The sequence below is a fragment of the Homo sapiens genome, chromosome X (assembly GCF_000001405.40).
Source record: "Homo sapiens chromosome X, GRCh38.p14 Primary Assembly".
NCBI classification, from domain to species: Eukaryota; Metazoa; Chordata; class Mammalia; order Primates; family Hominidae; genus Homo; species Homo sapiens.
The window spans coordinates 55687706-55701602 of NC_000023.11; positions in this window are offsets into that span (position 1 = coordinate 55687706).

The following is a 13897-nucleotide window of genomic DNA, read 5'->3' on the forward strand; positions in this document are numbered from 1 at the left end:
CCTTGGTTTCATTCTCCCCATCACTTTCAGGTACACCAATCAAACGTAGATTTGGTCTTTTCACATAGTCCCATATTTGTTGGAGGCTTTGTTCATTTCTTTTTACTCTTTTTTCTCTAAACTTCTCCTCTTGCTTTATTTCATTAATTTGAACTTCAATCACTGATACTTTCTTCCACTTGATCAAATCGGCTATTTAAGCTTGTACATGCATCACATAGTTCTCGTTCCATGGTGTTCAGCTCCATCAGGTCATTTAAGGTCTTCTCTACACTGTTTATTCTGGTTAGCCACTCATCTAATCTTTTTTTCAAGGTTTTTAGCTTCCTTGCCACGGGTTTGAACATCTTCCTTTAGCTAGGAGAAGTTTGTTATTACTGATCTTCTGAAGCCTACTTCTGTCAAGTTGTCAAAGGCATTCTCTGTCCAGCTTTGTTCCATTCCTGGTGAACAGCTGTGATCCTTTGGAGGAAAAGAGGCACTCTCGTTTTTAGAATTTTTAGCTTTTCTGCTCTGGTTTATCCCCATCTTTGTGGTTTCTTCTACCTTTGGTCTTTGATGTTGGTGATCTACAGATAGGGATTTGCTGTAGATGTCCTTTTTGTTGATGTTGATGCTATTCTTTCTATTTCTTAGTTTTCCTTCTAACTGTCAGGTCCCTCAGCTGCAGGTCTGTTGGAGTTTGCTGGAGGTCCACTCCAGACCCTGTTTGCCTGGGTGTCACCAGAGGAGGCTGCAGTACAGCAAATATTGCAGAATAGCAAATATTGCTGCCTGATCCTTCCTGTGGAAGCTTTGTCCCAGGGGGGCACCCACCTGTATGAGGTGGCAGTGGACCCCTACTGGGAGGTGTCTCCCAGTTAGGCTACATAGGTGTCAGGGACCCACTTCGGGGGGCAGTCTGTCCATTCTCAGAGCTCAAACACCATGCTTGGAGAACCACTGCTCTCTTCAGAGCTCTCAGACAGGAACGTTTAAGTCTGCAGAAGTTTCTGCTGCCTTTTGTTCAGCTATGCCCTGCCCCCAGAGGTGGAGTCTATAGAGGCAGCACATCTTTCAGCGCTGTGGTGTGCTCCACCCAGTTCGAGCTTCCCGGTAGCTTTGTTTACCTACTCAAGCTTCAGCAATGGCAGACGCCCCTCCCCTGCCAGGTTGCTGCCTCGCAGGTCGATCTCAGACTGCTGCCCTAGCATTGAGCAAGGCTCCATGGGCATGGGACCCGCTGAGCCAGAGGCAGGATATAATCTCCTAGTGTGCCGTTTGCTAAGACTGTTGGAAAAGTGTAGTATTTGAGTGGGAGTGTCCCGTTTTTCCAGGTACAGCCTGTCATAGCTTCCCATGGCTAGGAAAGGGAAATCCCCTGACCACTTGCACTTCCCTGGTGAGGTGACGCCCCACCCTGCTTCGGCTTACCCTCCATGGGCTGCACCCACTGTCCAACCAGTCCCAATGAGATGAATCAAGTACCTCAGCTGGAAATGCAGAAATCACCCATCTTCTGCATTGATCACACTGGGGGCTGCACACTGGAGCTGCTCCTATTTGGCCATCTTGGAAGGGACCCAATTTCAGAACTACTTATTGGTCTATTCAGGGATTCAATTTCTTCCTGATTTAGTTTTGGGAGGTTTTATGTGTCCAGAAATTTATCCATTTCTTCTACATTTACTAGTTTATTTGCGTAGTTCTTAGAGACCAACAAGGAGGCTTAGACTCCCACACAATAATAGTGGGAGACTTTAACACCCCACGGTCAATATAAGGCAGATCAATGAAACAGAAAATTAAAAAGGATATTCAGGACTTGAACTCAGCCCCGGACCAAGCAAACCTAACAGACATCTACTGAACTCTCCATCCTAAATCAACAGAATATACATTCTTTTCAGCACCACATCACACTCATTCTAAAATTGACCACAAAATTGTAAGTAAGCACTCCTCAGCAAATGGAAAACAACAGAAATCATAACAGTCTCTCAAACCACAGTGCAATCAAATTAGAACTCAAGATTCAGAAACTCATTCCACACTGCACAGCTACGTGGAAACTGAACCACCTGCTCCTGAATGACTACTGGGTAAATAACAAAATGAAGGCAGAAATAAAGATGTTCTTTGAAACTAATGAGAACAAAGACACAAGTGTACCAGAATCTCTGGGATATATTTAAAGTACATGTAGAGGAAAATTTAGAGCACTAAATGCCCACAAAAGAAAGGAGGAAAGATCTAAAATTGATACCCTAACATCAAAATTAAAAGCAATAGAGAGGCAAGAGCAAACAAATTCAAAAGCTAGCAGAAAACAAGAAATGACTAAGATCAGAGCAGAACTGAAGGAAATAGAGACAGCAAAAACCCTTCAAATAATCAATGACATCAGGAGCTGGATTTTTGAAAAGACCAATAAAATAGTTAGACCACTAGCCAGATTAATAAAGAAAGAAGAGAACAGAGAAGAATTAAATAGATGCAATAAAAATTAATAAAGGGGATATCACCACTGGTCCCACAGAAATACAAGCTACCATCAGAGAATACTATAAACACCTCTACGCAAATAAACTAGAAAACCTAGAATAAATGGATGAATTCCTGGACACATACACCATCCCAAGACTAAACCAGGAAGAAGTTGAATCTCTGAATAGACCAATAACAGGCTCTGAAATTGAGGCAGTAATTAATAGCCTACCAATCAAAAAAGGTCCAAGACAGGATGGATTCACAGCCGAATTCTACCAGAGGTACAAAGAGGAACTGGTACCATTCCTTCTGAAACTATTCCAAACAATAGAAAAAGGGAATCCTCCCTAACTCCTTTTACGAGGCCAGCATGATCCTGATACCAAAGCCAGGCAGAGACACAACAAAAAGGAAAATTTCAGGCCAATATCCTTGATGAACATCAGTGTGAAAATCCTCAACAAAATACTGGCAAACGGAATCCAGCAGCACATCAAAAAGCTTATCCACCCTGATCAAGTGGGCTTCATCCCTGGGATGCAAGGCTGGTTCAACATATTTAAATCAATAAACATAATCCATCCCATAAACAGAACCAATGAAAAAAACACATTATTTTCTCAATAGATGCAGAAAAAGCCTTTGACAAAATTCAACACCCCTTCATGCTAAAACTCTCAATAAACTAGATATTGAAGAAACATATCTCAAAATAATAGGAGCTATTTATGACAGTCCCACAGCCAATATCATATTGAATGGGCAAAAACTGGAAGCATTCCCTTCGAAAAGCGGCACAAGACAAGGATGCCCTCTCTCACCACTCCTATTCAAAATAATATTGGAAGTTCTGGCCAGGGCCATCAGTCAAGAGAAAGAAATAAATGAGTTCAATTAGGAAAAAAGGAAGTCAAATTGTCCCGGTTTGCTGATGACATGATTGTATATTTAGAAAACCCCATCATCTCAGTCCAAAATCTTCTTAAGCTGATAAGCAACTTCAGTAAAGTCTGAGGACACAAAATTAATGTGCAAAAATCACAAACATTCCTATACACCAATAACAGACAAACAGAGAGCCAAATCATGAGTAAACTCCTATTCACAATTGCTACCAAGAGGAAAAATACCTAGGAATACAACTTACAAGGGATGTGAAGGGCCTCCTGAAGGAGAGCTACAAACCACTGCTCAAGGAAATAAGAGAGAACAAAAACAAATGGAAAAATTTTCCATAGTCATGGATAGAAAGAATCAATATTGTGAAAATGGCCATAGTGTCCAAAGTAATTTATAGATTCAGCGCTGTCCCCATCAAGCTACCATTGATTTTCTGCACAGAATTGGAAAAAACTACTTTAAATTTCATATGGAACCAAAAAAGTGCCCACATAGCCAAGACAGTCCTAAGCAAAAAGAACAAACCTGAAGGCATCACGCTACCTGATTTCAAACTATACTACAAGGCTATGGTGACCAAAACAGCATGGTACTTGTACGAAAACAGATATATAGACCAATGGAACACAACAGAGGTCTCAGAAGTAACACCACACATCTACTACCATCTGATCTTTGACAATCCTGACAAAAACAAGCAATGGGGAATGGATTCCCTATTTAATAAATTGTGTTGGGAAAACTGGCTAGCCATATGCAGAAAACTGAAACTGGACCCCTTCCTTACACCTTATACAAAAATTAACTCAAGATGGATTAAAGACTTGGATGTAAGACCTAAAACCATAAAAACACTAGAAGAAAACCTAAACAATACCATTCAGGACATAGGCATGGGCAAAGACTTCATGACTAAAACACCAAAAGCAATGGCAACAAGAGCCAAAATTGACAAATGGGATCTAATTAAACTAAAGAGCTTCTGCACAGGAAAAGAGACTATCATCAGAGTGAACAGGCTACCTACGGAATTGGAGAAAATTTTTGCAATCTATCCATCTGACAAAGGGCCAACCTTCAGAATCTACAAAGAATTTAAACAAATTTACAAGAAAAAAAACAATCCCATCAAAAAGTGCTTGAAGGACATGAACAGACACTTCTCAAAAGAAGATACTTATGCAGTCAACTAACATATGAAAAAAAGCTCATCACATTGGTCATTAGAGAATTTCAAATCAAAACACAATGAGATACCATCTTATGACAGTTAGAATGGCAATCATTAAAAAGTCAAGAAACAACAGATGCTGGAGAGGATGTGGAGAAATCGGAACGCTTTTACATTGTTGGTGGGAGTCTAAGTTATTCCAACCATTGTGGAAGACAGTGTGGCGATCCATCAACGATCTAGAACCAGAAATACCATTTGACCCAGCAATCCCATTACTGGGTATATATCCAAAGGATTATAAATCATTCTGCAATAAAGACACATGCACATATATGTTTATTGTGGCACTGTTCACAATAGCGAAGTCTTGGAACCAACCCAAATGCCCATCAAAGATAGACTGAATGAAGAAAATTTAGCATATATACACCTTGGTATACTATGCAGCCATAAAAAAGGATGAGTTCATGTCCTTGGCAGGGACATGGATGAAGCTGGAAACCATCATTCTCAGCAAACTAACACAAGAACAGAAAATCAAACACCACATGTTCTCACTCATAAGTGTGAATTGAGCAATGAGAACACATAGACACAAGGCAGGGGCATCACACACCGGGGCCTGTCGGGGGATGGAGGACTGTGGGAGGGATAGCATTAGGAGAAATACCTAATGTAGATGACGGGTTGATGAGTGTAGCAAACCACCATGCCACGTGTATACCTATGTAACAAACCTGCACGTTCTCCACATGTATACCAGAACTTAAAGTATATATTTTTAAAATTCCATTTGTTGGTGTCTGCTTTAATTTATTTTATCAGTGTCTACAGTTTTCAGTGTGTAAGTTATTTCCTTGGTTAAGTTTATTCCTCAGTATTTTATTATTTTGATGTTATTGTAAATGAGATTGTATTCTTTATTTCCTTTCTGGAAAATTCATTGTTATTAAATAGAAATTCAACTGATTTTTACATGTTGCTTTTGTATCACTCAATGTTTCTGTATTTATTAATTTTTTTACCAGATCATCACATAAGTTTATTTCTGATGTAACAGCAATGTTAAAGTTGTCATGTTTAATTCTTAACAGAATTCTAGGTTGATGTATTTTTTTCTCAAAAACTCTAAATATTTCACTCCACACTCTTGCTTGCATGGCTTCTGGGAAGAAGCCATATGTAACTTTTATTTTTGTACCTCCATGGCGAGGTATGTTTTTCTTCTGGCGTCTTTCAATATTTTTTCTTTATTTTTGATATTTTGAAGTTTAAATATAATTTGCCTGAGAGTAGTTTTTTGGCATTTATCCTGCTTCTTGTTTTCTGAACTTTATAGATCTATGGTTTGCTGTCTGACATTAATTGGGAAAGAGGGGCAACTTTCAGTCATATTGCTTCAAATATATCATCTGTTTTTTTTTCTCAATGTATTCTCCTTCTGGTATTTGTATTACATGCATGTTACACCTTTTGTAGTAGTCTTACAATTCTTGGACTTTTGAGGTTTTCTTTCAGTCTTTTCAGCTTTGCTTTTAAGTTTTGGAAGTTTTTATTGTCATATCCTCAAGCTCAGGGGTTTTTACCTCAGCTGTGTTTTCTAATAATGAGTCCGCAATTTTTTTTTGTGGGCTCAATTATTTTACAGTGTTTTTTATCTCTAGCATTAAAAAAAAACTAGAGATGGGATATTGCTATGTTGCCCAGGCTGGAGTGCAGTGGCTATTCACAGGCAGAATCATAGTGCACTACAGTGTTAAATTCCTTGCCTCAAGCAACCCTCCTTCCTCAGCCTCCTGAGTAGCTGGGATTACAGTCATGTACCACTAGGCTTGGCTTTCTAGCATTTTTAAATTCTTAGAATTTTCACCTCCCTGTTTACATTATTTGTCTTTTCTTGCATGTCATCTGCTTTTTTTCCCATTAAAGTCCATAGAATATTAATCATAATTTTAAATTTTCTGGTCTGATAATTCCAACATTCCTACCCTATCTGCCTCTGGTTTCCATATCTGTTCAGTTTATTCAAACTGTTTTTTTTCTTGCGTTTTAGTATGCTTTCTAATTTTTTGTTGAAATGTGGAGACATGATGTACTGGGTAAAAGGAACTGCAGGAAATATGCCTTTATTAAATGTTGTTAAAAGAAAAACTTCAGCTTAATTAAATTTAATGGCGCTTAATTAAGTTGTGAACGATTTGCGAATTGGGCAGTCCCCAGAATCACAATAGATTCAGAAACTCTGGGGGTGCCTTGTGGTCAGAACAAATTTATAGACAAAAAAAAAATAGAGTAACATATAGAAATAGGAAGTGAGGAACAGAAACAGCTGGATTGATTACAGGTTGGCATTTGCCTTATTTGAATACACTTTGAACACTCAGCAGTGTATGAGTGGTTGAAGTATGGCTTCTGGGATTGGCCAAGATTCAGCCGTTGTTACAGGAGCATATTCCTAAATTAGATTTTCAATCTTGTCTACCTATTAAGTTAGGTTGCAGTTTGTCCACAAGGACTCAAATATAGAAGCACAGAGTCCTTCTCAGGCTTTATTTAGTTCACTTTAACAATGTGTAAATAAGGTGTGGAAGATGGGAAATTCTACAGTTCTATAACTATGTCTCAGTCTTTGGTGAGCTTGTGCCCCTGGACTATGAACTTCAACAGAGCTTCTCAGTTAGGTTATCCCTTTAGGTGGGGCAAGATGGCTAGAGTGGGCTGGAGTTGAGCATTCCCCTTTTTCCAGATAGAAAAGGCCCTGATAATACCCTAGCAGGTTAGGCTATGGTAAAAAAAAAAAATAAAAAGAAAAGAAAAATTAATCCTTGAATAATGTGGAGATTAGGAGTGCTGACCATCTGGACAGCAAAAAACTGATGTATAACGTTTTACTCCCCCAAAACTTAACTACTCAGCCTACTGTTGATGAGAAGTCTTACTGATAACATAAACAGTTGATTAACATATATTTCATATATTTTATGTATATATATATATGCTATAAACTGTATACTTACAATAAAAAAGCTAGAGGAAAGAAAATATTATTAAGAAAATCATAAAGAAGATAAAATAAATTTACTATTCATTTAGTGGAAGTGGATCATCATAAAGGTCTTCACAGTGACTAGGCTGAGGGGGAGGAGAAAGAAGAGAGGTTGGTCTTGCTGTCTCAGATGTGGCAGAGATGAAAGACGTGGAGGAGATGAAAGGTGAAGCAAGAGAGGCAGGTATATCCTGTTTAACTTTAGAGAAACACATCATAATTTCTGCCGGACTGTATTAGTCTCTTCTCACATTGCTATAAAGATACTACCTGAGGCTGGATAATTTATGAAGAAAAGAGGATGAATTTGACTCACAGTTCTGCATGTCTAGGGAGGCCTCAGGAAACTTACAATCATGGCTGAAGGTGAAGGGGAAGCAAGGCATGTCTTACATGATGGCAGGAGAGAGAGAGAGCATGCAGGGAATACTGCCTCTTTTAAAACGATCAGATTGTAATTGCCCAATGGGTTCACCTAGCCCACTGCCTGGACAGAGCCAGTTTATCAAGACAGGAGAATAGCAATTGAGAAAGAGTAACTCATACAGAACTGGCTGTGTGAGAGACTGGAGTTTTATTATTACTCAAATCAGTCTCCCTGAGCATTCGAGGATCAGAGTTTTTAAAGATAATTTGGTGAGTAGGGGCTGGGGAAGTAGGGAGTGCTGATTGGTCAGGTTGGAGATGGAATCACAGGGGAGTCGAAGTGAGTTTTTCTTGCTGTTTTCTGTTCCTGCGTGGGATGGCAGAACTGGTGGAGCCAAGTTACTGTTCTGAGTGGTGTCAGCTGATTTATCGTGTGTAAGGTCTGCAAAATACTGAAGCACTGATTCTTGGTTTTACAATAGTGATGTTATCCCCAGGATCAATTTGGAAAGGTTCAGATTCTTGGGGCCAGAGGCTGCATGAACCCTAAACTGTAATTTCTAATCTTGTAGCCAATTTGTTAGTCCTGCAAAGGCAGACTGGTTCTCAGGCAAGAAGAGTTTTTTCTGGGGGGAAAGGGCAATTATCAATTTTGTTTCAGAGTCAAACTATGAACTGAATTCCTTCCAAAAGTTAGTTCGGTCTATGCCTTGGAATGAACAAGGACAGCTTAAATGTTAGAAGCAAGATGGAGTCTGTTAGGTCTGATCTCTCTCACTGTCATAATTTCCTCAGTTATAATTTTGCAAAGGCGGTTTCAAGACCTTATGAGAACTCAGCATGGGGGATACCGCCCCCATGATCCAATCACCTCAGGTCCCTCCCTTGATATATGGGGATTACAATTTGAGATGAGATTTGGGCGGGGATGCAGAGCCAAACAACTGACATTTTTGCTTTTTCATTTCTCTAAAAATGTTTCTCTATGGTGCCAATCCTTCTATTGTTTGCTTTAGTTTCAGTGCCCATATAATAGAAGAGTACATATTGTAAAAGAAGTCAAAACTGTCTCAAGTAATCAGAACCTGTGTGCCAGATTGTCTAATGTCAGTTTGTTTTCTTCCACAGGTTCTTCTAAGTCTTCTTCCTCACAATCTGGAACTGGTTCTAAAGCACTCATCTCCATCAAATTGTCACCTGGTATGGGTGGTATCTATTAGCTCTTGAATTTCCGTATGATACACATCTTGAAAACTTTCACTCCCCATCATTTTTTTTTGCCATGTCCACAGTCTCTTTCATGATTTTCTTGATTGGCTCTGTCATAAATCCTGAGGTCATGCACAACATCTGGACACATTGTTTTCCAGCAGATATATATTGTGTTGGGCTCGATGGCTTTCATGGCTCTTTCTATAGCAACAATAACATCTTCTATGGTGTAATTCTTCCAGACTTTCTGGATGGTTTCTCTATAGGGGTTCTCTTCTGTAGCATTGGCAAACCTTTCCATAGAGTACCATGTGTAATGAGCCTTAAAGGTCCTTATAATCTTATGATCTAGAGGCTGAATTAGAGATGTGTTTGGGGGCAAGTAGACCACCTTGATGCCTTTGGTGTGGAACTCATGAGGTTCTTGGTGGCCAGAAGCATTGTCCAATATCAAAATAACTTTTTAAAAAAGTCCTTTACTGGCAAGATATCTCTGAATTCAGGGACAAAGCATCAATAGAACCAATCTAGAAAAAGTGTTCTCATTGTCCAGGACTACTTGTTGTACAACCAAAAGACTGGCAGCTGCTGTTTATCTTTCCCTTCATTACTCGGGATTAGCAGCTTTATAGATAAGGGCAGTTCTGATCATAAGCCCAACTGCATTTGCACAAAACAGTAGAGTTAGCTTATCTCTTCCTGCCTTAAATCCTGGTGGTGGTTCTCTTTCTTACTAATAAATATCATTTGTGGCTTTTTCCCCCAGAATAGGGCACATTCATTGCATTAAAAGTTGTTCAGGCAGATATCCTTTCTCCTCAATGATTTTCTTAATGTCTGGGACCTCTGTGTCTGTTGATTGTCAGAAGCTGCTTCTCCTGTTATCTTAACATTTTAGAAGGCAAACTTCTTTCTAAGTTTATCAAGCCATTTTTTACTGGCATTAAATTCTTCAGCTTTAGATCTTTCACCTTCCTTTTGCTTTAAGTTGTTAGATCATATCGAAGTCTGTAGGAATGCAATGCTTATAGCAACACTGCGGCCAAATAAAAACTGTATTTTCAATACAATATAAAAAGGTATTTTGCAAAAAGTGCAAGGATTTCATGCGTGCTGGCATAGCTCCAGCAACAGCTTCATGAAATTTCTTTTCTTTTTTTATTTTTACTGTGGTCTTTACACTGGATTTATTAATCTTGAAATGGTAGGCAACCACAGCTTCAAACCTCAATCTATGGTATACATCAAACAATTCCAATTTTTCTTGTAATGTAATTATTTTTCTATGTTTCTTGGGAGCACTTCCAGCATCGCTATTGGCACTTTGTATAGGTCCCATGGTATTATTCAAGGTTTACAATTAAAACTGCCTTTGTAAAAATTATATCAGTGAGAAAATTATGGAAGTGGGGGAGATCTGATCTAGCCAACCCTCCTCTGGCCTTTAGCCTTCAAGCTGCCAAGCTAGCTTTGGAAAACATTTAGGTTATAGTATAAATGATAATTGCCCTTCCCTGAAACTCAACTGCCTTTGTAAACCTAATGAGAGACCACTAGGCTAGGAGGAGGAAAGGAGCCTGAATTCTGCTGAGGTGTAGACATAAAAGATTGCAAGCCATTATTCCAGAGGTCACAAGATAACATCACTAATGTAGAATCTAAGATTGGCCTTTTGAGATACCTTTTCAGGCTTTGTGTATGTCTGAAACCCATGGCTCCACCTGGACCCACCAAATGATGGCTCTTGTGGCCCTACCCAGAAGAAATTCAGCCTTAAGAAAGATCATTTCCCACACCCCTGTAATTGCACTCCAACCAATTAGCAGCAAGCAACCATTTCCTAGCCACCTCCACCCCTTCCCCCAAACTGCCTTGGAAAAACCCCTAACCTAGGAGCCTTCCAGGAGATTGATTTGGGTAATAACTCAGTTTCTGATGTGGCATGTCAATTAAACTCTTTCTTTATTGTAGTGCTGTGATCTTTGTGCAGTGGGCAGGAAGAACTTGTCGGGTGGTTACACAATACTGCACTAAGCACGATAAAAAAATTAGTGAGAACTCTGACAGATCACTTTTTACTTTGTTATCCAATTTTCTGGAGAGATAAACTGCTTATGCAGAGATAATTAGTGTCACAGGGCATTTTAAGTGATAAAACACTTGAGCCCACTGGAAAGACAACAGGAGGTGACTATGAAATTATTATAGTAGTACAGTATTGTAACAGTTAATTTTATGCAGATATGATTTGATTCTGTATCTTCACATTTGTTTACATTTCTGTCAACTGAGAATGGTGTCATGTATGGTTTATGTTTGTAAATTTTGATAAATTTGAAACTTTAATAATAGATTTGTGAATATTTTATGGTAGCAAATGATAAAATAGACTAGTATCTACATATATTAATATTTTGTGCATTCATGACTTACCATTTTGTTTTTTTGGAGACTCACTCTGTCACCCAGGCTGGAGTGCAGTGGTGCTATCTCAGCTCACTGCAACCTCTGCCTCCTGGGTTCAAGTGCTCCTCCTTCCTCAGCCTCTCCAGTAGCTGGGAATACAGGCACATGCCACCATGCCTGGCTAATTTTATTTTATTTTATTTTCAGTAGAGATGGGGTTTTGCCATGTTGGCCAGGCTAGTCTTGAACTCCTGATCTCAGGTCATCCACCCACCTTGGCCTCCCATAGTGTATGACATACATTTTTCTTAATTTTTTGACAGTTCTTGGCTATGAAGTTCATCTGCAAGTTTTTTCAAATTGTCACAAATCTCCAAAAATTCTTCCAATATGTAATACTTACAAAAAAAATCCACATATAAGTAGATCTGTGCAGTTCAAATCCATGTTGTCTGAGGGTCAATTGTAGTTTCGTCTTCTATTAAGTAAAACAAAAATGGAGTACTCTGATGTGTTTCAAAATAGTGACTTTTTCACTCCCCCTGTCAGAAGCTAGATGGGATTTTTCTCTAATGTTCACTGTGAGGCAGAGCTGGTAGAGTTCCTGGAGGGCACAAAATGGTGCCCCTTCTCCACTCCATGCCTGGTCTCCTTGGAGTTTTTAACTCTCAGTCTTGTCCACTTAGAGCTTCCAGCAACTCATCAATTATAGTTCTGTTACAGGAAAGCAGTTCTGATGCAAACCACAAGAAAGAGTTCTTGGATCTCTCACAAGAAAAAATTCATAGCAAGTCCGTAAAGTGAAAGCAAGATATTAGGAAAGTAAAGGAATAAAAGAATGGCTACTCCATAGACAGGGCAGCCCTGAAGGCTGCTCAGTACCCATTTTTATTATTATTTCTTGATGATATACTAAACAAGGCGTGGATTATTCATGCATCTCCTTTTTAGACCTTATAGGGTAACTTCCTGACATTGCCATGGCATTTGTAAACTCTCATGGTGCTGGTGGGAGTGTAGCAGTGAGGGCGACCAGAGGTCACTCTCATCGCCATCTTTGTTTTGATGAGTTTTAGCTGGCTTCCTTACTGCAACCTGTTTTATCAGAAAGGTCATTATGACTGTATCTTGTGCCAACCTCATATTTCCTCCTATGACTTAGAATGCCTTAACCACCTGGAAATGCAGCCCAGTAGGTCTCAGCCTTATTTTACCCAGTCTCTACTCAAGATGGAGATGCTCTGGTTCAAACACTTCTGACATTTCTCCCCTCCCTTTTATAAGAGAATCCATAATTCTAAGAGTTGCAGAGGGATGAAGATCCATGATCTGTAACTTCTTCAGGCTGAATAGGGGCAATGATATTCCTACCTGAATATTAGGGTCTCTTGTGTTCAGGGTAGAGAGCTCAGTCAGAAAGCATCAGTATGGTGAGTGCCAGTCATAACTCTGAGTTTTGACAAAAGGTGCTATCTAAAAGATTAATAAGTATTCAGTTTAAGAAAATATTGAGTAAGCTTATCCTGCATTCCTATACAAAGACTACAACAGCAATATATATCACAACAGTGAAGAGAAATAAGTAAAATTATTTCAAGTAAACTAAATTAGAAGGTTTTCCATGAACTGGGCAACTGTTGACACCAAGCTGATATGGGGTTGCTAGATGATTCCATTAGGTGCCCAGGATTAGAATATTGATCCAGATTTTTACATTACCCAACCCTCTTGTTTCTTCTGAGTAGCAGCCAGAGATCACTGGTTCATTCATCGGGATAAGCAGGGTTAGCCTAAATTGCAGAAACAAACTTAAACAAAACTAATGAGGCTATAATTTAATAACAAGTGTACCATAGTACTTGAAACATAATATTTCTCTTTCCAGTTTCTCATTTTTGGTAAAAACAAATTATGGTAAGACTGAGGTGCTTTATTATACAAGGCCTGATTATTTGTCTAAAGTGCAGCAAGAATAATAATTTTTCACAAAGACTTTTTAACTGGCTTTGATGGGACTCTGTTCCATAGAAAAAATCTTAGATAAGACTTTTTTTAGAGACAAGTCCTGCCATGGCTTTGAGTCCTTAAATACCTATGAGTTGAGTAAATTCTTCTCATCTTCATGTTACAGGATAACTTGGGGCCTCTGGGCTTCTGAGAAAGTGACACTCTTTACTTACTATAGGTCAGAAACCCTGTACAGGGACTCCTAAAATGCAGCATATGAGGCCAGTTCCCCAAGGGGTTTTTATTGGTTCTACAAGTCAAAATTGATTTCTTAAAGGAAAGCAGACCATTCCAGTCAAAGCCTTTGCAAAAATAAG